At 34.3% G+C, this 26,638-nt stretch overlaps 1 long non-coding RNA gene across 2 annotated transcripts in view; it reads left to right on the forward strand.

The window, feature by feature from the left end:
- The window catches only part of LOC107985953 (uncharacterized), a 139,261-nt gene extending 117,426 nt beyond the window's left edge, over nt 1-21,835 (forward strand). For both annotated transcript variants that reach the window (XR_001739746.3, XR_001739747.3), the window contains 2 exons: nt 14,925-15,072; nt 17,063-21,835. This is a non-coding gene — a long non-coding RNA (uncharacterized LOC107985953). The remainder of the gene's footprint in view (nt 1-14,924; nt 15,073-17,062) is intronic.
- The last annotated feature ends 4,803 nt before the right edge of the window (nt 21,836-26,638 follow it).

Below are 26,638 nucleotides of genomic sequence, written 5' to 3' on the forward strand. Positions count from 1 at the left end.
GACTGTTTACAATATCTTTATTTTAGCACCTATAAATGTACCAACTTGTCCAAAGAAATTGGCTCCTGGTAGGAACAAAATGTAAGAGGGGGGTCGCTGCATGCAAAGCCTTAGCACCATAATGGAAGTGAGCATTTCATATTTTAATTTGATCAGGTGGGCTGTACCCTGCCAACAGTACTTTATAACTACTTAATATTTCCTAGTCATTCGAATGTAAATAAGCTTGTCAAGAGAATTTGGGTAAATTTTTTATTTTTATTTTTTTTAAGCAAGCATGTTTGGCAGGCAGGTTTTCCCAAGATCACCCAGCTTTAATTTTAAATTTCAAAAGCCTCACATTTAATCCCTTGAGCTGGCCTGGTACCTTGCACCATCTGTTCCCATGGTTTTGTTATAACAGTGAGCACCTGCAGAGTTTTGCAACATTTCAAGCTGATTGTGGACAAAAATCAAAATAATTATAATTTTCATAAAGTAAAGACTTCCATTCAGACACTACAATTCCATCTAATGTGGATTTTGGAAAACCAATCTTGCTTATAATTTGTTTCTTATGGATAAGGGTAATTTATTTCTATTTTGTTTTTGTGGAAGATCAATCCTTTAAAACATATGCACAATCAATGTGGAATTCTCACACTCCAGCCACATCCAGAAAATTCTTGGATAATGCTAGTCAGTTCTTAGATCAGGGCTTCTTGATGTATCTTGATTAGACAAGTCCATTAGTCAACAGCCATAACGAAGTTAGTCTTATTTTTTATTGTTCACACTTTTTGTTGTTTGTTGTCTGTTTGTTTGTATGAATAGCAATGAGATTCTCCACACATTTTATTTTCAAATGTTTTTACACTGTCAATAGAAGTAAAACATGTATGCATTATCCATTAAAGACAGAAAAAGGAAAGATAAGGTGAGTGCTCACCTTCTCCCTATATCTTTGGAATAGAGAAGTCATTCATGTAAACATAGGATTCTGTATTAGAAAACCTGAATGTTGGCAGATCAATGTCTTCTGGTAGGTAAATATCTTGCCAGTAGGCTAGTCATCCATAGGACACTAGATAATTACTTATATAGGATGAAAAAAAGATCTTTTAACATGGATACTCAAGTATTGATCTTTTGCTCTTTGTCTTGGTATTTAGAAAGAAATCTTAAAAACTGTCAATGGCCGGGCACAGTGGCTCACGCCTGTAATCCGAGCACTTTGGGAGGCCAAGGCGGGTGGATCACGAAGTCAGGAGATCGAGACCATCCTGGCTAACACGGTGAAACCCCGTCTCTACTAAAAATACAAAAAATTAGCCAGGAGAGATGGCGTGCTCCTGTAGTCCCAGCTGCTAGGGAGGCTGAGGCAGGAGAATGGCGTGAACCTGGGAGGGGGAGCTTTCAGTGAGCCGAGATAGCGCCACTGCACTCCAGCCTGGGTGACAGAGCGAGACTCCATCTCAAAAAAAAAAAAAAAAAAAAAAAAACCTGTCAATGACACCCACTTTTTAATTTTTTTGTTTAAAGTGTTATCCTTTTATTCAAATTGCATAAAGTTAAAATGTTGACGAGTTTAGAGTCCACTGACCAGTAGCTAAGTATGATTAAGTATGATACATTTGATTTAGTTTTGCTAAAACTCAAAAGAGAGTAATAATTTTGCAGTGTATGTATATTACTTCACTAAGACATCACCAGAAGCATGGTAGAGGGTTGTAAGAGTTTTTTCTCTATAACATTGGAGTTCAGTCAATACCACTTAAGGATGCCCTAAAAGAATATGACAAATAAGAGAGTAAATCTATTGGCCAGAGAGAAAAATCGCCTTTGGACTTGTGGAAGAATGGTATAGCCACCAAAGGTGAACTGCCATGCCAAAAGGAATAGAAGGAATGAATGTGGTGCTCAGTTGAGAAAGTTGAATAAATCGGGGTCTGGTAGAGATTGCTATCCTGGCGACACATTGGTGATAACTGCAATTCATGACAGAATAGAGGCAACTACTAGAAGGGACTGAGATGCTTGGAGAGGCATCTGGAGACAAGATCCTGCTCAAAAAATTAGGCAAGAATTGGTGGTGGTAGACTTGTAGCACAGTGTGTGAGACAAACATTAGCAACACAGAAAGATCTTGAAGAGAAAGGTATACTTTAGAAGGCTAGATATCCAATGTCAGTTAATAGTAGCTAATAACTTAATAACTTAGCAATTTTTTAATACTAATTTCACTACCACTGTATTTTTTTTTTTTTTTTTTTTTTTTTTTTTTTTGAGACGGAGTCTCGCTCTGTCGCCCAGGTCGGACTGCGGACTGCAGTGGCGCAATCTCGGCTCACTGCAAGCTCCGCTTCCCGGGTTCACGCCATTCTCCTGCCTCAGCCTCCCGAGTAGCTGGGACTACAGGCGCCCGCCACCGCGCCCGGCTAATTTTTTGTATTTTTAGTAGAGACGGGGTTTCACCTTGTTAGCCAGGATGGTCTCGATCTCCTGACCTCATGATCCACCCGCCTCGGCCTCCCAAACCACTGTATTTTCTTGCAAAGCTTTTAAAGCTTGAGGAAATTTGTATTACAGTAACAAGATAAATAATTTTGTTTTAAATTTGAGTTAAAACTTTTATTTGGAAAGGTTTCATAGACAGCCTAGTTCAATTTTTTTGCACGTAATCTAACAATCTGAGTAACTCTGAGTAACACCTTTGTGTTTTTTTGTACTTTTTTTTTTTTTTTTTTTTTGCTGTGGGGTATCATTAGACCATGAAGTACTGTTTTAAGTACATGTTTCTTGCCTTCTTTATCTGAAAAATAAAAAGCTGTTGTTAATATATAAGAACAGCACTCATTAAAGAACAAAAAGTGTATATATACTATTTGTTAAAACAATTGTATTATTTAGATATAAGCTAATGAAAATGTCATATACAAATGTAATTTCCAAAACATTTGTCAATGAATAGCAAATTGGAACACAAATGCAGACCTTCTTACTCTCATGGCCAGAGTACCAGAAACATTAATAAATCAGGAGTCAGACAACTTGAGTTCTTGGCCCAATTTTCTATTTAGTAGCAGAAAGAACTTGAGAAATAAGGATTATGAGTCACTTAAACTCTGGGTTTCCTAATCTTTTGAAACTATATTATGAGCTTCATGTGGGCAGGGATTTTATTTGTTTTGTTTATTATGCTGCTACAGAACTGTGATAAATGAGGATTTGGACAGAAGATCTCTTCAATCTTTGCTGGTTCCAATATTCACAAAATAATAATGTGATAGTATGTGATAATATACTACACTAAAAAAGCTGTGTTTTATCTAAGAGAAAGACAGTGTTAGAAATGACAGAATGATACTTGTAGTCTTTATTTTATATAGTGCAGTGAATCCAATTGCTCAAGGAATTGATATTTTGTTGCCAGACTGATTCAGTCTCAAAATTATTTTCACTTTGATTAGACCCTAGTAGTTTATATACATGTATATTGTAAGGTAGATACCGGCATGTTATCCAAATTGCGATCATTTCAGTCATCACATACCAAATTATTTTTTGATATTATTCTTAGAGTTCAGATCTCCAGTTGTGGCTTGATTTGATAGCTGGCTGGAATTATGCACATTCTGAGAAGTGAACATTATCATGTATCAAGGCTGTTGACATTGACTTCTGAAAATTTTACTCAAATTTTACTCAATTTTTTAAGCCCCAAATAATTCTATATTATGTAGAGAGTGATTAACACCATGAGTTCATAAACACACACACACAAAGCATATTTCAAAACGTCAGCTAAAAATATAAATGGATGGTTTCACTGAATTATTAACTATATAAATTTAAAATATTTTAACAAGCAAAATACCTTTTTTTCATTTTGCCATCACTGTCATAAAATGTACTTGTCAAACTTTTAAATTAAGAAACTCTATATTTTATCCCTCCTATAACCAGTCCCTTCTACATCCCCCTCCCCGACAAAATAACTACATTGAAGCTGCTCTTGTCATTTTGGGCCAATGTAAATTCTTCAATTTTTTTCAAAGAACAATAAGAAAAAAACATATATTTACATATTTATAATATATATTATTTAATTATTTATATATTATTATTAATTATTTATATATTTTATATATATATATAGTTTCGCTTTTGTCGCACAAGCTGGAGTACAATAGTGCGATCTCAGCTCACTACAACCTCTGCCTCCAGGTTTCAAGTGACTCTCCTGCCTCAGCGTCCCGAATAATTGGGATTACTGGCACCTGCCACCACGCCTGGCTAATTTTTGTATTTTTAGTACCAGATGGGGTTTCATCATGTTGACCAGGCTGGTCTTGAACTCCTGACCTCAGATGATCCACCTGCCTCAGCCTTCCAAAGTGCTGGGATTACAGGTGTGAGCCACCATGCCGGGCCAAAGATACATATTTTTTTCTTCTCCTTTTATGACACTGCTTTCCTGCTATTCCTATTCGCCATCCCCTTTTTTTCAATTCTTCATTTTACTTCCAGTTCCACAGGCTCTCTTTGGAACTTTGTATTTCACTTTCTTAACATGTTCCTTTGAAGAACCTCCTATTGTTATTATGGACACTACTACCTTCATGATGCCCTCACATTTATGCTGGCCATTTATCATACTGATAATGCTCCGTATATTTACTGTAGGTTTTCCAAGTTAAATTTATTTGGGATATACTGGATTGCTTTCTAGTTTATTTGGATTATTTGTATGTATGTATGTCTGGATGTCTGCTTAATTTGTTTTGCTTTTTCTTTTACCACTTGTCAAGTTTAACCCTGCTGAGGCAAGTACAAGTGATGCCTCAACAACTGAGATTCAATCAGTCATCTTGGAAATGTGAGATCTTTATAGATTACATTGCAATATTCACTCATGGAAAAAGTTACACAGATAATTTTTGTATTAATAAAAAGCCATACTTGAATCGTTCCTGAAAAAAAAATGGCAGCTACAACTTTAAACTCACCACAGTGAAATGATTATCACATCACCATATGAACTGACCAGCTCAGCACGTCAAGCCCAGTGTACATAGGTTTGTCTTACATATAGTTGTCTTACTTCTCCTACCTTGAGGACATTGATTACTGTTGACTTTTATATCCCAAGCTGTCTAGCATATTACCTGAAATATGGTGGTCATACAGCAACAATATTATTGTTATTATTTTAATAAATGAATGTTTTAAAGTTAGGCAAAGCCTCAAAACATGGCATTCTAAAGGATGGCCATTTATATAGAAAGCCACGGAAATTTTAGGATGGCTAAAGATTATTTAACCCCATTTTAAAGAGCTATTTTTATAAAATGTATTTCACTGGTTACAAGGAAATCATGCTTCCACTGTTCCATGTCTTCCCTTGTACTTTTTCTTTATTTCTTTTCTTTTCTTTCTTTTTTTTTTTTTTTTTGAGACGGAGTCTCACTCCATCGCCCAGGCTGGAGTGCAGTGGTGGGATCTTGGCTCACTGCAACCTCTGCCTCCTGGGTTCAAGCAATTCTCTGCCTCAGCCTCCCGAGTAGTTACTTTTTCTTTCATTTTAAGTAAAAACAAATAGTGATTTTCAAGCTTCCACAAGTTTCAAAGCATATGCCCTCTTTACTACATCTTTGATTTCTTAGCTTCCTCTCGAATTGCCCCCATGTCTTTGTACAAGCACTTCTTTAAAGTTGTATGAAATGCAAATCAAAATTGAACCTTAATTTTTAAAACTTTGCACTACCTCTTTTGGCTAGAATTTCTTGTGATAATAGACTCTGAAATATATTTAAGATGCTGACTTTTATTTTTTAACAGTAAAATTGAGTTTTTAATCACGAGGAAAATAAAACACTTATTTCAATTAAGACAATTTTTATCTAGTTAAATAATTTTCAGGTTTTTCCATTTGTTTTATTTTCTACTTTTCACATGTTCCATGTGGTTATATTTAGGTAAAAGTTAAGAAACAACGATACATAAAGAAAAAATATTTGAATTATTTATAAAACTACTTCAAAAGAATCATTTTTAAAATAAAATTGCCTTTTAAAAGGGAGAAACAGTCTGAAAAAGATTGTTTTCAACTCAACAGTTTTTCATTTTATATTCTTTACTATATTTTTTAAAGCCTAAGCCACTTATTTTATAAGATGATACTAATAACAAATCAAATTTTCATTTTATGTATCAATTGACCTCTAAATTGAGAAATATATATATATTAACTATATTAAACCTCAAATTTTTTAGTTCACTAACTCCCTAAGCCCTGAATACTGTTAAGGTACTAGTTTTGGAGAAAGAACCCTTATTTTAATATCTTATTTCTGTCACTATGACCTAGGAAAGTTATATAACTCCTGTGGCCCTCTCTTCATCTGTAAAATAGAATAATAATAGCATAAATTCATGTCTGTATTGTAGGGTAGATAAGCAAATGTATTCAAAAAGCTTAGGATGTATCTAGGACATGCTAAAGTCTCCATAAGTGTAATTATTTTACTAATACCTATAGTTGCTTAATGGATATCTCCTGTGAAACAAGTAACTGTCTTTGACCATCTTGTTACTTCATTTTCTCATAAAGATAAATTAATATTAAAATGAGATTTAATTAACCTTCATAGTGATAAGGTCTCCAAATTCTTTGCTTAGACATTTTGAAACATTACAACCAAAAGTAAGAACACTAAAGAGATTTCATATTTCTTGAGCCTTTACAAGTTGCCAAGCACTGTGTTAGGCACAGGCACTTTCTTATCTATCTTTCTTATTGGCACTACCCCCCATACTGGAGTCAAAGTAATGGAGGCTCCCAGAAGTTAAGTAGCACACACTGGAGGTGACAGCAAGACTTCAAATGTCTGTCTAACTCTACAGCTAGGAATTTTTTGTAAAACAAGAACCAAAGAATGTCACTATCCTGCTTAACACCTTTCAATAGCTTTTCGTTGCATATAGAATACAGTGATATCCAAATGTCTTACCACCTAAATGCGGCATTTTCCCTGGTCTGTGCCTGACTTCCTAACCTCATCTTGTCTGGGCTTTCTCCTCATCATTCCAGTCATTCTGAAATGCCATGTTTGTTTTTGCCATAGCAGAAATCTAAGAATTGCTGATCTAGAATTATCTGGCCTCAGATCTTTAAATAATTGGCACCTGTGCATTATTTTTCTCAGTTCCGTCTCACCCATACAGGATTTCCCTGGCCACCCAGTCTAAATAATGGTCTCAAGATCTGTTTTCCCCAGTGTCTCTCTAGCACATCACCTTACTTTATTTGCTTCAAAGGACGTATTGCTATCTGAGGTTGCCTTATTTTTTAAAAATAAAATTTGTTGTCTGTGTTCCCTGATAGAACATGAGCTATCTCTCCATTTCCTAGTGGCCAATATTTATTGAGTAAATGAACGAATAGAGCTCTATACTTACAATTATAGCATTTCTGATAACATGACAGCTCTTACCTAGCAGTTCGACTTCTTTTATTTATGATAGCATATTGAAACTTTAAGCACATACTTTAAGTCTAGACTCATTTTATATTTTTTCATTCCATCTGACATTGTTACTTTGAGAAACAGAATTCGACAATAAAATCAACAAACAATAAACATCCAAAATTAGGACCGTAAAAATAAAACACCAAGGCTAAAACTTTTTATAAAGGCACAATTCTATTAAACCCATAATTTATCTCTGAAAATTATATAACTTATTATAGGTTGAATATGTACATCATATCTAAGTTTTAAGAAAATTAATATTCTTAATCTGAGATTTGAAGCATTTGTACTCTGTGAAGAGACTTGCACAAATAAAATCTATTGAATTACTACGTTACAATATGTTAAATATTGTATTGTTAAATAATGTTACTATGTTACAATATGTTAAAATTAAAATCTAAAGAAAGTTTGTTTATTTAAGGCAACATAAGTCAATTCCTTTGATTGATATTTTGAATTTGTATAATTGACCTCTCAACAATTTATGTGTAACACAACAAAATTTGCATTATAAAGGACACATAGTTATTCATTTTAATAATTAGTGCTGATCAAAACTGCTATATAATCATTTGTATATTATAAAATGAAGAACTTTTGAGGATCTGCATCTACGTTTCAAAACTTAAATAACAACCTCTGACTTCTAACCGACTTAGAAAATAACTGAAATATTATATTATTTATGTAGTGTACTCCCAATATCAAGCATTACATTTTTAAATAAATGTTTTTTCTGCTCTTTAGTACAGATGCTGGTTTAACAATTCATGCATTAGATATTTGGAAGTAAATTATAAATTTTATTATTATGGAGCCATTAAATAAATATGATACATTATTTTTAAATAAGTACAGAATATGTAAAATTCCATATATCTCAATGCAGTGTGACTGCTTTTTATATTGAAAATCTTATGATGACTTAATACCCGAGTGTGGTTTCAAGTTAGTGTGCTACAAGTGCTTCTGCTATTTTTGATTTTCCTTTTAGGACTTATTGGAGGAAGAGAGAGAGAGAGAGAGAGCATTCAGAGCGCCAGTAAAAAACAAAATCAATGCTTTGCTGCTGTTGTTGCTGTTGTTGGGCTATAAACACTCTACTTTGGTTGGTTATAATGCTACCAAAATCCACAGTACTTAATTTATCTAACCTTCTGATAGTGAATGAACAAAGGTAAAAATAACAGGCTAGTTATAAACTAGTACTATGGTGATGACATTGTGAATTATTTAAAAAGGGCATATTCAATGTGACCATAGAGCCATCAATCATAATAGACATTGATGAGAAAAAGAGGTTTCAGTCACTTCCTATCTGCAAGGAGAACAATTCTATCTCACAGGTAGCTATGAAGTGCTGGGTGACCTGATGTCACTTGCATTGTTGCTCTACCCTTTGAACGGAGAGAGTAGATTCTCTCAATATTAGAATCGAATGAGTAAATAAATTCGCAGTTCACTGCCACTTTCCTTCCGAGTGCACACTTCAATTTGTCTAACAATAGAGAGGACAGAAAAGCAGAAATCTCTTAAAGCGTGGATGAATTTTTTATGGTATGTTCAAATCCAGCTGCAAAGGATGGGGTTTTAAATGGTAGCAGACACTCTTTTAGAGGGAGCCCCAAGAGACGAAATCTTTTGGAAGGGTTTTGTATTGAATTCATTCCTTTCCACTTACATCCGTGGCTTTTCTTCTTCTGAAGCCCTGCTTTTACTAAATTGTTCCACTATCAAGTTCACATTGATTTTTAAGATGACAAATAGAAACACTTCCTTTATCTTTAATATACACACACACTACAGTAGAATTTCCATTTCAAATGCATAAGAACAGTTTTTAAAGTGCATGCACGTAATACTATTTTATTTGTCTGTTTCATTCAATAGGAAGATTAGGATTGCAGGAGAAGAAAGAGGTGGCTAGTTAAAATATTTTAAGAAAACACTATACTAACAAATTTAACCTCTTTCTTCTGTTCAAATATTCAGAATAATTTCATTTACCACAATCCCTCATCTCAGAGTTTTCTATTTGAAAGTTATCATAGCATGCATTAATTTACATTACCTAAATTTTTGAGTATCACATTTCCCTCATCATAGAATCCTACAAAATCCTCTGGCATTTACAAACTACAAAGCTACAAAAGTGTGCATATTTTCTTATATGCTAAAATCTACTGCTTCATTCCAGCACATTAACATTTATGACATAAACTCAAGAATGGTATGGACGTTTTTTTACAAAGTTTTTTTTTAAATTAGAAAATGTAGATAAATAGGCTTTCCTTTTCTACCTCTATTCCTCCTTCCCTTCTGCCACCCACATTACTAACCCACTCTATTAGAGCAGAAATATGAAACATGTTTGCATTGCATTCTGCATCTATGGCATAGTCACTTGAAGCATGTACACTATTCATTTTTATTCACATTTCCTCTCTAATATATTCTGGAAGTATATTCATCTCAATGTAACCTCTGAAACCACTTTAAAAATGTGTACCACCACTTAATTGTTGATAACAGGTAAATCAAAGGTAAAAAGATAACTAATTAATTTTCTAGTTCAGTTTTATTTTGCTGGTACTGTTTTCAGAAAATATAACAAAACCCCATTAGTGTTAAGGTAAGCCCATGAAACAACATAATATAATGCAAAAAAGACATTTAATAGTGTAGAGGAATGTTAAATTACTAATTAACTCCAAGTTACTGTATAAGAAAGCATAGTAATTTACAGGATTATTGCAATATGCAGCTTGGATTGCCACTAGGGTCAGCTAGGGAGCATTTCTTTCTATACCCCCCCGCCTCTTAGTGTGGTGGTTACTGTAAAAATCTTCTCACATTAAAATGCACTGTCCTACCCACAGTTCATTGCTGCTAATTAGCAGCAGTTGAGATTTTGCTAGCAGTCATTTTTTTCTGTGTTAAGCTGCCAAATGTTACCAAATGCTCAAGATTCTCCATGCACAAAGTGTCCAGCTGCCCAGCTTGCACCACTGTGTGTGTCTTTCAGCTGTTTCCTGTCAACTTTAACACCTGTGCAAAGAAAACACTAATCAAATTATCTGTACTGGCTTTTGTTATCAGAGGGAAGGTTATCAAAAGTGTTCTGGATACTTTGGCACATGCTCATCATCTACTGCTAGAAAATCTCACTAGACACACACACATATACACACACACACACAGACACACACACACACCTTTTCATCTAAGCATCCAATTGAGACCATGGCTCTCTAAAACTTAAATCACTCCAATATCTGCCATGTCAAAGTCAAGTGTTTGCACAGTCTATTTAAACTTTTATTTAAGCAATAAGGCTTGGGAAAGTCATCTTTTAGTTTTACCTAAATATATAAGAAGAATGCCATAACTTTGATTAATAATTGATTAAATAAACCATTCCTACATCAAAGACAGGAAGAAGAGCTGTTCGCTGAAAGGCTAGACTATCAAATAGGACTTTGTTGTCTTCAACATTGCTTTAGAACTACAGCATTACAGAGTAAGAAGAACATTAATTTTTGAGGCCTTAAATAATCACATAAAATAAAATTGGCTCCTTTTCTCCTTAATTAAACACTAGTAGTGTTAAAACACTATAAATCTAGAAATAATCACATAGCCTAATAATTTCCTGTCTATTCCATTGGCTTTATGACTAATTTATATTTAACCTTCTTGGGAACCTACGATCAGAATGTACTTTCTTAAAAAATTGAAAGCAACTGTCATTGGTGTCTAATACCTGAGCAATAGGGAATAGGGTCTTAAAAATGTTTTAAAACTAAAAGGTGATATATAATGTATTACACTGCTTGTAAGGTTTAATAACACATAGCCACTGCTTTCTTACAATTACAGGGCAATTGATAAATACATAACTCTTTTGTTCTGATTTTCTATTTATCATGATGTATTAAAGTGATTGTGTTAAGTATATAAATGTATGCTAATATTTACATCAATAACAGCATTACAGTAAATTTAATCAGACAACCAGACTTGAAAGGGGCAGATTTCGGCCTATATGTTATATTTGTTTCATATAATTTTTTTAAGATCTTGGTTGAAATTTTATAGTATAACTGAATTTATTTTTACTTTGTTTTTACTTAAAAAAGGGAAAAGGACTATAAAATATACCTGCGATATGAGTATAAAATTCATTGTGCTGACAGGAATGAATCCACTCAGACTATGATCAAAACTGTAGCAAAACTGTAGCCCTAGGGTAACACAGAATGAGTGTCAACTACATTTTGCTATTAAGTTTCACAAAAATCCCCTCTAGGATTTTCAATCACAATATTTGGAATCTATATTCATGTTACAGTTACAAAATAATAGCGAAGACTCATAAAAAGTATAAGAGCTTCAATTTCAGAGACATAATTTTGTGATTTAAGAAAAAATATTCTTTTAATTTTTATTTTTTATAAAAAAGGACAACTTTTGTTTAATATTCATGGCTAGCTTACTAGAGATTTATATAAAATTTCTGCTTGTATAGCATTACTCTTTTTAATATACTATTTATTCAGCCCAAATTATTAAACAAGTACAAAGATAAGACAGTATCACTATGATTCCTGATCAAATACTTTTGGTTTCTCCTCTTTCTTTCGTTCTGTGTATATCTGCACTCGAAGACAGACAGCTGGTAGAGGAACTTAAAAGGTTGCTTTTTAATTCACAGCAAAACAAATGATTTTATAGATACTGTTGGATAAATGTACAAAAAACATTATTTAAAGCCAATAATTGATTCTACCTGTCCAAGTACCTGATCCTTCATAAGCAAATAAATGCCTTCCGAGTATGAAGCAGGACTTTGTACAAGTTGATTAACCTCACTGAACCTCAATAACTCAGTCTGTAAAGTGGGATTCATAATACCTAGCTTTTATTTCTGTGTAGATGAATAGTCTGTGTGAACCAGAATGGGGAGGTCTTGTACTTTCGTGATGGGTTGCATATCTTCCTGATGCAGGAGTGGCCAGACTCCATGAGCCACTGCTAGTCATGGTTGCCCTGATTTCTTCTTTATCAAATTTTGCATAGGAAGGAGTTGAACATAATAAACTCAAACTGCAGTGTAGCTCACTAAAGATGATAGGACCTCTTCTCCTCCAAAAGATACATTTTTGTGTGAAATAAGACTAATTGATCCATTGGATGGCTGAAAAATTATCCTCTAGGTGAGTTGGATTGAGAGAAAGATTAGCTGTTTGAAATTGATGTTCCTATAGCACCACGGAAATTTCATGGAAGACTCTTACTAATAACATCATCCCTTCTTACATATATGTCTTGTAAATTTGACTTTTTAAAACACTCATGTGTTAGTCAGAAATAATTTTCTCTAAGGCGCTATTAAAATGTGACATATTATTATTTTGTGGGCTTTGAAGAGGAATTGAAAATAATTAAAAATGGCTGCTAAAAAAGTAAATATGTGTGGCATGAAGAGCCTAGAGGCAGCTGATAATCTCTAGTTGGATTACTAGCAATAAGATGTGAATATGTGGTCCTTAGGGAGAAAAGCCACTAAATAAGCTTTGATTTGTTTCCTCAAATAATGAACTTCATGTAATCCTGTATAATATGAGCTTTGGTACAATTTTGGACAGGACAATAACTAAGTAGTTACTAAAGACTTATAAAGTAGAAATAGTCTTGATTTCACTTGAAAAATAAATAGCTATGCTAGGCAGCATTAAAAAGGTGATGTATAATGAACGATGACGATGGTGTTGATGGCCACCATTTGTGAAGCCCTTACCAGGTGCTAACCATTTATCATTCAACAAATAGTATGGGTTTCCTACTCTGTGCCAGACATCAGTCTAGGTGTTGAAGGAAATAGCAGTTAGCAAAACAGGCAACATTTTTGACTTCTTAGGCTTATATTCCATTGGAGGGAGAGAGGCAATAAATAATAATAAACAACTGAGATAAACAATTCCACTGAAGTAAATATTTTAATCCCAATTTCATGGATGAGGAAACAGACAGAAAGGTTAAGTCATTTGCCTGTATTCCAAAGCTGGCATATGGCAGAGCCAGAATCCAACCTATAGCTGTATGATTCTTTCTAGTACATTTTGCTATGTGTCAGTAAATATACACTACAGGAAAAGAGACAGATGTGGATTTTGTTGTTTTGTGTTGGAACTAAACCATGGTTTCTTAAACAAAGACATCTCTGGCTCCATTTCTAAAGGAGGCATAGTATTTATATAGAATTTACACTGGGCACATTCAAAAGTAAAGTGCAGATATACACTGAATTGTGTTTGGAAAACAGAAGATTTATTTGGCATAGCAGAAAGTAGAAGGATATAAGAAGGAGGTAAGGTCCTTGTTGGAAGAACACGAGTGACAGATGAAAGGATCTTGACTATCCTGCCTACAATCCATAGGCATATTAAAAAAATTTAAGGTAAGTAAACCTGGTAGTTGCATTATAGAGAGATTAATCAGGTTACTGTGAATGCACAAAAGTTGAAGAAGTAAGAGATTAGATGTCAGAGTGTCTAGTTAAAGGCCAATACAATAGTGTAAAATCAGGTTAAGTTGATTGCAGTAAAACAAACCAATTCAGAAAAAATTACAAATAATCTAACTAGAAAAAATGATTAAGGGAGAGGATTTAGGTTTAGAGGAGCAACTAAGGAGGAGTAAAAAATGATATGAGCTCAGAGCTGGAGAAGAGTGGAATTATTCATGGAAATTAGAAGGTCAGGAATGGGGCCAATTTCTAGAAGATGTTAGGTTTTAGACGTGATGAATCTGAAATGCTCATGCTGAGTCTGAAATGCTCAGACTGTAAATCACTGGCCTATACTCTTTACTTTAGTCCATGCCATCAGTTGCACCTTGTCTTTTCTAGCCACCTCAAAGTTCTTTCCAATAAAGGAAGGCTCTTTCACGGTTCTAACTCCCTGAAAAACCAAGTAAAGTCTTCTGATTCTTGACATGTTTTGTCTTCATCTGGAAAGTCAGATTTAATCAAACCTACTTCACTTGAATCATTTTTTATTAGTATATCAAAATCTCAACAGAGTTGTCAATAGTCAATTTTTTATTTGTGATCTTATTGCAAAAAAATCTAAAACAAAAAGGTAATAAAAATGCATGTGAAAATATCAATACCAAAACACATGAAATATGTTTGGAGAAATAATCCTGACTTGATCCTGACTATAAAATATAGTTTCTTTTCAAATTCTGCTAACCTGGAAATATATTTACTTAGTTTTATCCAGTGTAGATAGAATATTGTACTTTGCTTTTGAAAAGAAAGGTTAATTTTGGATGAAATAGAGTAGGAAAAGTGAGAGCTGAGAATAACCAGCTTTTATCTTCTTCCTTCCCGGCCACCGAAAGAAGCCAGTGCCTGGGATTCTGAGATGCAGCCACATCATAAAGTTTCATTACTCAATTGCAGTAGAGAAAACCTCAAAGGAACCACTTCTAATGGAAACTGCCTCAATTCCTGGTCAAGTCTCACAGTCTAACCTGGAGGTGCTCTGAGGTAGGGGCAGATAGTTTTAAAAAGTTCACTTCATAAGAAGTTACAAACTAATTGTAAAGTATCTCAAAAATGATCACGATATCCCTTTTCTCTTATGGTATATGACTAATAACTTGATATATTTTTAAGGCTCTGTAGCATAAAAATTATTTTAAAAGATCATTTAGTACTACCCTACTTTTTAAAGTAAATGCTACTGAATATAATATAAACCTTCTAATAGTTTATAATGTTAATTCATCTTTTATTTTTTCTGAATTATTATTTAGTTCTTCATTTAATTTTTCAGGGTCAATTTATTTTTCATTTCCTTTCTGGACATATTAATTTCAGTTTTAATTTTCTACTGCCATGACTTCAAAAGGTTACTGAATTGCGTCACGTCTAATCTGTTTAGATATGGTCAAACTCTCACCACTGCTCTACGTTAGGCCTAAGTTAGGTTTAAATGGGAAGGTGGATAGTATATCCGGGGAGGGGGAAGGGGAGGGGGAAGGGGAGGGGGAAGGGGAGGGGGAAGGGGAGAGGGAAGGGGGGGGGAAGGGGGGGGGAGGAGGGAGAGGGAGAGGGAGAGGGAGAGGGAGAGGGAGAGGGAGAGGGAGAGGGAGAGAGAGAGAGAGAGGCCCAAAGTAGGAAAACTCAGGCAGGAGTTAACGTTGCAGCCTTGAGGCAGAATTTCTTTTCTAAGAAATCCTGAGTTTTGCTCTCAAGGCCTTCTACCTGATTGGATAAGCCTCATCCACATTAAAGAGGGCAATTTCTTTTATTTAAAGTCAACTGATTATAGATGTTAACCACATCTACAAAATAAAATCACAGCAACCCCCAAGATGAGTATTTGATTAAATAACTGGGTACTATAGGCTAGCCATCCTGATGCATAAAACTATTGTAGATAGATTTAACAAACTGTTTTTATGATAGTTTCATGGTTTTCAAAGAGTAATTCATTTTAAAGATACTCATTGAGTGACTTTTGTGTGCCAGGCACCAGTATGAATATAAACTTAGGAATACGAAGCAGGCTAAGATAAACTCCTTGCCTTCCAAGAACTTACAGTGTTATCAGAAGATAGATATACAAATAAGTTAATATGATGCAACTTGATGAATGTTAGTTTTAAGCACAAGCAGAGGAAGATGGGAGCATAGAGAAGGGGAAATTTCTCCTGCGCAGTTAGTTCAAGAATTCTTCCTGGAGAAAGTGACCTCTGAACTAAATGTTTAGGGATTCTGTAATTTACTAAGCAATACTTACAAAAATCTGTTATGCCAGATGCAGTTCTAGGGGCTGGGATTCTATAGAAAAGATCTCAACTTTCATAAAGATACCTTCTGGGGAGGAAAGTGAGACACTAACACAAGCAAACAAATAATTAAAATCTTCAGTAGTGATGAGAGTGATGAGAGCTACTTAAAATATATCAAGGTTGTATGATTCAGCCTCCATTTTGCTATTGTAACATTTAAGCTGATACGTGGAAGACAACAAAGAAATAATGAGTAGGTGAAAGGAAATGCATTTCCAAGCTTCGGAAACAGCAACAGTAAAAGCAAACCAACAGTCGCAGCTAGAGCAGCATTAAAAGATTTTATTTATTTAAAATTTGCTTTTGAAAAACGCTTGATCCACTCTAATTGTCATATTTTATTTACATTAAATTTAAATATTAAATAATACCTTAGTGTAATTTAAATTCACCTCCTTGGTCTTAATAGTAACTGTGCTTTATTTCTTGTCTCCCATCTTCTTTATACTCTTCTTAAGATATCACATGTATATGTGAATTTGCTATAACTGACTTACAAATTTTTAAGTAACGGGGAGTCTTTTTACCTGGTGCAGTTTAAGAACCCATTAAACACAAAGTACTGAATAACTGAAGAATGGATGTGGTAGGCTGGTAACAGCTCCCAAAGTTACGTCCAAAGATACGTTACATCTCCCCGGCACCTGTGTATGTTACCTGATATGCTAATTTTTTTTTAGATGTGACTAAGTTAAGGATTTTGAGATGAAGAGACCATCCTGAATTATCTGAGTGGGTCCTGAATGTCATCACAAGAAGCCTTAGAAGAGAGAAGCATGAAAACCAGAAGAGGAGGAAGAGGCAACCGGGCCATGAAGACAAGAGATTAGAGTGATGTGGCCACAAGTCAAGAAGTGCCGGCCTCCAGCAAAAAACTGGAAGTCAGGAGCAGGATCTCTCCTAGAGCCTGTGGAGGGAATGTAACCCTGCCAATAACTTGATTTTGGCCCAGAGAAACTGACTTCAGACTTCTGGCCTTCAGGATGGCGAGAGAATTAAATCGCTGTTGTTTTTAGCCCAGTATGTGGTAATTTTGTTACAACAGCCACAGAAAACTAGTACAGTGGATTTTTAGCAGTAGAATTAAATTAGCAGTGGATTAAAGAGCAGTAGAATTGTGATTTTATCAACACTTACTGGATGGCAGATTTCCTCTGCAGCAGAAGAGAATAAAATGTTGCCTAGGTGATGCTGACCACCAAAACTTCTGCCATGGACTCAGCAGTGTGAACAGACCCTGGGAATCTATGTACACATAAAACACCATGAACATTTTGCATTTTCTGATTTGAACTGAATAGGCGTTCTACTCTGTAAATATTTACAAAAAAACTAAATATATATTTATGTTAACCCTTTGCTAGAGATTTTTAAACAAACAAAAAAATACCAGATCTTATTCACCATTTTTGATGTCAGTAAAGTGTGTTACGCAAATTGGCTTCAAAAATTAAAACCTGTAACAAACTTTGAGTCTTGAAATGCATGCTATGTATGATCTTAAAAACATGTAGGTAGGCTTATTAGTTCATAGAGGTTCATAGTATTTCATATGTTTTTCAGACTATATGTAGGGAATTGCTGACAAATCTTGGTATCACTAAATCCATTATCATGTTCTGAAATGTCACCAAATTGAGCCTACATATTGTGAAGAGTGAGTGTATGGCCATATAGTGTATGGCCTCAAGATTTTGTCTTATAATTTAAGTTTCAATGTCCACACCTCATCTAAATTAGGGTACCATTTGGACTATCATGTTTAATAAATTTACCACTAAGTAATTACATTAAAAACAAATTTATCTTAAAGATGTATAAATTGTTTTCATTGAAGAAGGTAGTTACTTTGGTAGCCTGTTAACAAAGCCCTGGGAATTATAAGACTGTATTTTCATGGAGGCATACATGTGTAGTAATTGTAAAATGGTTCTGTTTTCATATCTGGATCTTTTATATGTGTGTCTGAATTAAGAAATTCCCATAATAAAATAAAATCTTAATTTAGCAAAATTAATATATAGAAAGAAATTTTATAAATCATAGACTTTTAAGATGATCAAATAACCTTGCTGATCATCTAGTCTCACACCTTTTTTGTAGAAGGCTAGACTAAAATTCATAAATGTAAATGATCTCTCTAAAGGCATATGGCAAGCTATTGGACACACCAGGAATAAAACCCAGGTCTTGGCCGGGCGAGGTGGCTCACGCCTGTAATCCCAGCACTTTGGGAGGCCGAGGCGGGCGGATCACGAGGTCAGGAGATTGAGACCATCCCGGCTAAAACGGTGAAACCCCGTCTCTACTAAAAATACAAAAATTTAGCCGGGCGTAGTGGCGGGCGCCTGTAGACCCAGCTACTTGGGAGGCTGAGGCAGGAGAATGGCGTGAACCCGGGAGGCGGAGCTTGCAGTGAGCCGAGATCCCGCCACTGCACTCCAGCCTGGGCGATAGAGCGAGACTCCGTCTCAAAAAAAAAAAAAAAAAAACCCAGGTCTTCTGACTCCTAGTCCAGGACTCATCACAAACACCATGACTCATTACTTTCATTGTAAAAGACTCTGGCACAAGCTGTTAACTGGTTAAATGGCTAAAGGAGGAAAGGTAAAATAGTAAAACAGAGTGAAAGTGATACCACCCTATTGAAGATCATTCTAAATTAAACATAGATGTCTTTGAGATTATAAATAAAAATATACTTTGAATATATTTGACTACAAAGTCAATTTTAAAATATTCAAAGTTAGTTCTTCAAAAAACTAATAATAGAACTACAATATGATCCAGCAATCCCACTACTGGGTATATATCCAAAGGAAAGGAAATCAATATGTCTAAGAGACATCTGTACTTCCATGTTCATTGAAGCATTACTCACAGGAATCAAGACATGGAATCAACCTAAGTGTTTATCAGTGGATGAACAGATAAAGTAAATGTAGTATATATACACAATGGAATACTATTCAGCTTTGAAAATGAAGGAAACGCTGTCATTTAAGACAACGTTAATTCAGCCTGGAGATCATTATCTCTAGGTTGTGAAATAAGAAAGACAAATACTGCATGATCTCACTTAAATGTGGAAGCTAAAAAAGTTGAACTCACAGAAACAGAAAGTAAAATAGTGGTTACCAGAGTCCTGGGGGTTAGTAGCAGGGATGGAAGGATTGAGAAGATGTTGGTCAAAGAGCACAAAACTTCAGCTGGACCGAAAGAATAAGTTTAAGAGTTCTATTGTACATCATAATGACTACAGTTAACAACAATATATTGTATAGTTGAAAATTGCTAAGAAATTGATTTTAAGTGTCTTCGCCACAAAAAGAAAATTATGTGAGGTAGTGGACATGTTAAATAGCCTCATTTAGCCATTCCACAATGTATACATACATCAAAACATCATACGGTATACCATATGTATATATAATTTTTAACTGTTGATAAAAAAATAAAAATTTGAACAAATATATATTTTATCTTTCAAAGAAGATTCAGAATTTAAAATATTAAATTTAAAATATAGAAATGTTAGTCTAAGTTTGGATTTTCTAATACAAAATATTGCTGCTTAACACTAAAGAGTAGGTAAAAATACTAGTTTAATTTTTTTATCATTTCCAAAAGATTTTAGTATTCTTTAAAATAGTCTCACTTATCTTAATTGTTCATTAAAGATCTATAATCCATTATGTATATGTATATTGAAAGGAAAAGACCTAGTTTTGGGCCTTTATTTTGGAAAATCTATGACTCTTTGACTCTGTTTTCTCATCTATAAAATGGACTTTTGAGAACATTCAACTAACTTGCAATTATGGTGAGAATTAATATGTGAAAGAAAGTGCTCAGCTTCTGTCAAATGCTTCTTGTGGGGTGTGTGTGTGTGTGTGTGTGTGTACATGCCTGGGCATTTGCATGTATTTGTGTGCCTGTGTTTGTGATAATAATTTCTATTTATGTCATGATCTAGTGGTGCAAAGACAAAGGGTATGTCTATTTAAAAAGCTAGAGTGCAAGAAAGAAAGACAAGAAATACTTCCTTCAGTAAAAAATAGATTTAAAGGGAGGGATTAGTTTTATTGAAACTATGACTGCTGCTTCTCATTGTCAGGGAAAGTAATATCACTAGGAGTTACATGGAACAAATGCTTAAATAAATGATCGGGATAGATAGCTACTTACTCTGACTAATAGGAAATGAGTGACCTTTAAAATGACTCAGATTCCCAAAAATCTCTGACTCCATTCTATAATCTGTGTTTTGTTCCATATAAAATTAAACAATAAATATAGTTAGGAGCAAAATTACAAATCTAAAAGAGATGAGGACTGGGAACCCGGGGACGAAAGTTCTACTCTTTTGTTCTTACTCACTTGGTTTGTGACCTTGAACAAATCACTATACCCTCCCGGGCTTCAGCCCCATTACTTTCAACATGAAGGGGGTCTAAGGTCCCTCCAGCTTTAACACTTGGTGACACTATGATTCCAGTTCATAGCTTCTTGCTCACAATATTTGACACTTTGTTGACATACTGTCAGAAACTTTACACATTTTCCAAAAGCCATCACAGAGTATTATCAGGTCATTAATGTAGAGTTTTAAGAGGAAACTATAAAACGTCTTTCACTGGGTATTTGTTATAGCAACTACGTTTATACTGTTGGATTCCTCCGTGATGATAGATAGATAGACAGATAGATAGATAGATGATAGATAGATAGATGGATAGATAGATAAAGATATACTTCCAAAAGAAATCAAATATGTTAGGCTAATACACTATGAGTAATAAAGTTGTACTACAAGTATGTGTGACAAAAATATCTTCATGTAAATCTTCTGCTTATTCCTACTCAGCTAATGACATAGAGATAAAATGTATCTGAGCCCATTTGTGCTTACTAATGTAAAAAGTAATAATTTATTTATTTGTGTGTGTATATATACACATCAGTGTATGTATACGCATATATGTAAATAGAAAAATTCTGGAAAAATTGCTAAAAGATGTATACATTATAATGTTTTACTATATATACTTCTGTACCATTTCACTTTTCCACAATGAGCATGTAACTACTTAATTATAAATTAAAAAAGAAAACAGAAAATATAAACATTTCTAGCCTTATGCAAAGTTGTGTAAATTTCTTTTGTAGATTTCTGTGATTTATTTATTTTCCCTTCATAAATGGCATATACATGTAATATATATCTCTATCTTTCACTAGCTGTGTCTGTATGTATAAATAAATTAAATCCAGTATGTGTTGAGCACTAAATGTACCAGGCATTGGTCTAAGCACTTTAATTATGATATACAACTCAGTACCCATGACACCCTTGAGTGGATTATTTTTACTACCAGATACAGATTGAGCTGTGCTATTCAACACTTATTTTCTTTTTTTAAAATGTATTTATTAAACTTTAAATTCTGGGATACATGTGCAGAACGTGCAGGTTTGTTACATAGGTATACATGTGCCATGGTGGTTTGCTGCACTCATCAACCCATCATCCAGGTTTTAAGCCCCATATGCATTAGGTATTTGTCCTAATGCTCTCCCTCACTTTGCCCCCCACCCCCTCAACACCTATTTTCTAGTGTTTTCACTTCTTTTTTGTAAACAGGAGAACAAGCTATGCCTACGTTGGAAATTATTACAGTCAGAAGTTTACCCACCTCAGATGTGTCTGAAGACTTCCTTCCCTAGAGCATTTAGCAATCCCTTTCATTCTTCTCCTGGGCATCATTAACATATTCCTTTTCTCTGACCAGCCTTAATCCATACCCTATCCATTCTTCCCATCAGACAGGCACTTTTTCATTCTAACATACTTGACTATATTTCAGATTGTGTGTCTTTGCCTGTGTGTATGCTATTATCAATCATTATGCTTTCCAAATTGGTGCTGAAGAGTGGTTTTGCCATTCCCTACACAAGTTTTAGTTTTAGTTTAAAACTCAAACACATCATAGGAATCATCATAAAAATAGATTTATACATGTATAAAAGAGAATCAGAATACTGATTAATTGTTTATGCTTTTCATATAAGTAATAAAGCCAGCAATTAAGAATTTCATTGATAGAATATGGTAGAATCTTTGTGCAAGCTGCTTAGCCCATATCCTGGCTCTGGACAGAAATGAACTTAAGCCTTCAGAAGACAACAGTCTGCCATTTTGCCTTATTCTCACAGAAAAATTATTTTATAGCACTTTAGTGAAGAAAGGAAGATGCATTATTTGACAGCTCTCCAAATCATAGCAAACGGGCTTAAATTTATTAATTGATTTTATCCATTTTGCTTTGAAAAAGTAAATAAGTAAAGTAGAATAAATGAGCCATATAGTTCCAGCCTGTTGAATACTTTAACCAAACTGGAAATTAATGAGGTGATTAAGGAAAAAAAATAGTAGAAGGAGATAAAAATAAGAGGCCTTAAATACTTCATTTGGAAGAACACAATTGTAAATACTTTTTAGTCTATTGAATGAAAATAAGAGTGTTTTGTTCCAATCTACACTCCTCCCCCTGAGCACTGCCAGCTAGTAGGGTGGCAGTGACAGTCTTGGTGAGTGACAGTCTTGGTCCCCGAGTGGACCTTTCTGTGACACCTTTCTCAGCAGGCCTCCGCCCACCAGTAGGCCTGCAGGACTTGCTCCTGCTGAGGAAGTCTCACACAGGTTTTCGCTCCCTTATCCTACTGTGGCCATGCTGCGCTGGTGTGAAGGAAAATAAGCTAGAATAGCAAAGATACATCTCGCATGAACTACTAGGTCACAATTGAAGTGGCAGAGATGTCATTGTCAATCAATAAAATTTTCCTGTCTTTGTAGCAAGTCTAACACGGTTAACTCAGACAATCATCCCCATAGCTGTACAAGACAATTAGGTCTAGAGATTCAAATCTATGCAATTTGTAAATAATCCCAAGAATAGGCAGAAGGCTATAAAGCAGTGTTACCTGTCCTTCATATTCAAAAGCATTTTGACATTCAAAAGCTCTCATACGGACACATGATAATTAAAGTTAAAAGATTACGGCAGCTGCATTTTAAAGAGTAATAATGTCACAATTAACATTAATTGTTAATTTTGTCTTAAAAATGAAATAAAAAATAAATGTAAACTTTTTCCAAAAGGTAGTACCAAGAGTGTGTTTCATTGAAAATTATTCTAACCTTCCCCCATGCTGCAAGTCTCTCCACAAAATAAAACATTTGCCAGTTAATGTGGACCTGATGTAACTGTTCTAGTCAGAAGGTCAAACATACTGAATCTGCTGCCAGAGCCAAGTTCAGATGAAATGTATGAAAAACACAGAAAGTCAAACCTTGCAGTGCGCTATAAATACTCATAAATACACTAAAATTTATAGTTCATTATGCTCCTGTTTTGTCCTTTCTGCCAAAGTCAAAAAGCTCACGGACCTTCATTTTAAAAGAAATTTACTGTACATTAGGAAGCAAGCCACATGGTGGTCCAAAACACTGCCAGTTCTCAGCAGGTCAAATAGGTGCTGATTGAGGATTTGAACTAGGTGCATCCTACGCAGTGCTACATATGAACATTGAATTTTGAGTGCAGGGCATGTGTATGTGTGTACTTTTAAATTGTTCTCTAAAGTCACTATTGTTTGAAGCTATCTCACCATTCAAATAAATGATAGAGAAATTGCCAGTAAGTTTTTCCAGTTTTCTAATATCATCAGCTATGTAAAAATATCCATTAAAAAGGAACTAGCATTTCTATGGCAATGAAGCACAGATGTTTTATGTGACTCTGGAACCATCAGGTAAAATCAATTTTTAAAAAGTACAAACCTAAATCATTTTTACTTTTAGCATATTTAAAAATTCAGATATGAACTGTTATTTTCTTTCAATATAGACCTGTTTATGAATTTATTTTTATTCAATTTTATTTAATGAATGCATTCTCTATCAAAAAAGTCTCAATATGAAACTGAAAATGTTTCAATTACATAGTATATTTGAAGAAATATAATAGCCATGTCATATAGGGCTTTGCTACTCAATTGTGTGGTCTGGGCACCAGCAATATTGGCCTTGCTTGGGAGCTTATAAAAGTTTCAGAATTTCAAGCCCTTTTCCAGAGCTACTGAATAAGAATCTGCATTTTAACATGATTCTCCTGTGATTCTTGTGCACACTAAAGTTTGTGGAACATGGATATAAAACAATAGCTTAAGCAGAAATCACATGGTACACCAAATGTTTTGTTAGCAGAAAAGCAAAATTCTGCTTAATATCCAGCTAATTACATTGGAGCAATTTAATTTCTCACTACAAAGTAATAAGGTTCATGCTATTCAGAATTATTTTGCAGGACACTGGTCAAAACGTTTTCTATATGATAGCCCACAGGATTTAATCCCCTCCCCCACCCCTGAAAAATACAACCTGATATTTTTTTCAAGAAAGTTGAGTTTTGTCTTAATTATGTAAATTAAATTCAGACGTAAGTCATCAGTATTTGATAAGACCCACTGACCAGAAAGTTTGTAAATTTTCTTTCTAGTGATATTTAATCCCATTAATTTATCTAATTTTGTTTTATTTAATCTTTTTCTTTATAAATACAATATAGCAACATTAAAAAAATAAAACTGTAAAATAAAACATGTGACCTCATTTCTTAAAGAACTGTGATCCATGGATGTGAAGGACCTATCTTTCTCCAACAGGTATTGGCTCTCCAGGTCAGGTTAGAAATCCATTGCCATGGCAATGTGCAGGACTGCCTAGGAGGCTACCTGAGCTTATATCTGGCCTTGTACAACAAAGATCATTAATCTCCAGGTCTCCCAATATGAATCTTTTGAAGAGCTATAAACACACCTACTGTGTTAGCCTTTCCAGAAATATTTTGAAAGAACGAATATCCACAGTGTTTTAGCCAGATCAAATGGAGCACAATCTGAAGTGAACCTGCCATCTAGAGTTTGCTCTCCTAGCCACTCATGAATATCCCACTTGAAAGCTCCAACATCCCTTTCAAAAACCCTAGTTTTAAAAGTCAAGATTATCAGTTTATAAATATGTCACATATCACACTTGTCTATCAAAGCTATTAATCTTTTGTGGGATCTATTTTATGGGCCATTGTGAAAATCTAACAAGTCTGAAATTTTTTTTCAGATAAATGCACAGGTACGTTTATCTCAAAAACTCTGTGTACAATGTCAAGGACTTCATTGTCCTCCAAAAGTCTTATTCCAAAGAATCCAATGGAAGATACCTTGCAACATGTGGTTCACCAAATGCTATGCAAGTCATCAAGCCCTACTATACACTGAAATAGATTAGATATTTAACTTGTAAAATATCACTAGCAGACATACACACCTTGTTTCTTCTTTGCTAAGTATGCTTATTTTCAAAATTGTTCTTTTTCAGAGAATGTAAATTCTTAATGATAGGAATAGTTTAGGCTCAAAATTGTACATTCTTGAAAGGATTATGTATTATTTTATTAAAGCTCTCTTTTTAAATATTAACTAGGAACTCACGAGTTACTTTCATTTGAAAAAAAACTTTCCTCAAATTTCAGGATGGGGAAATGAGCTCCAAAAAAGGTTAATACTTTTACATAAATAATAATGGAATAAAACAGTCTAATTAACAGCAACATCAGAGGAAAAATCCAACAACTCAAGAATATGCTAGACTTATAGCTCCTAGGAGGTATAATGAAAGCATTCCATTTATGGATTCATTGCCATCAAGGTGGTGGGGAATGATAGTGGACTGGAATTAAGGCAACCTCTCTCATAGGCATGTTGATCCCAGACTTATTTTAAAATTCCACACTGATTTTATTTTTGTCAGCATGTATGTGTTCTTTGAAAATGCAGAGTTTTAAGCATCATGGAAACTGAGCATGCCACATGAAACCCAGCAGTCATTAGTGGGTAAGATATATCACGTAAGGTACAAACTCCATTCCGACCTAACTTTTCACTATGTGTCCTCGAGCTATATCTTAGCTTAAAATGAAACATGAACATAAGCCAATTCTACAGCACTGAAGCCATCAAATCCAAGACAGAATGTCTGAAACCCATTTCAAACCAGAGTTTCTGATATGTTTTAACTAGTAAATGATGAACAATATGGGTTACAGGAGGGTAATCTGTAAAGGATTTGCCATAAGCATACATTATTGAACAGCATCTGTTTATTCTATATTTTCCAGAATTTTTAAGATAACATT

The sequence above is a fragment of the Homo sapiens genome, chromosome 2 (assembly GCF_000001405.40).
Source record: "Homo sapiens chromosome 2, GRCh38.p14 Primary Assembly".
NCBI classification, from domain to species: Eukaryota; Metazoa; Chordata; class Mammalia; order Primates; family Hominidae; genus Homo; species Homo sapiens.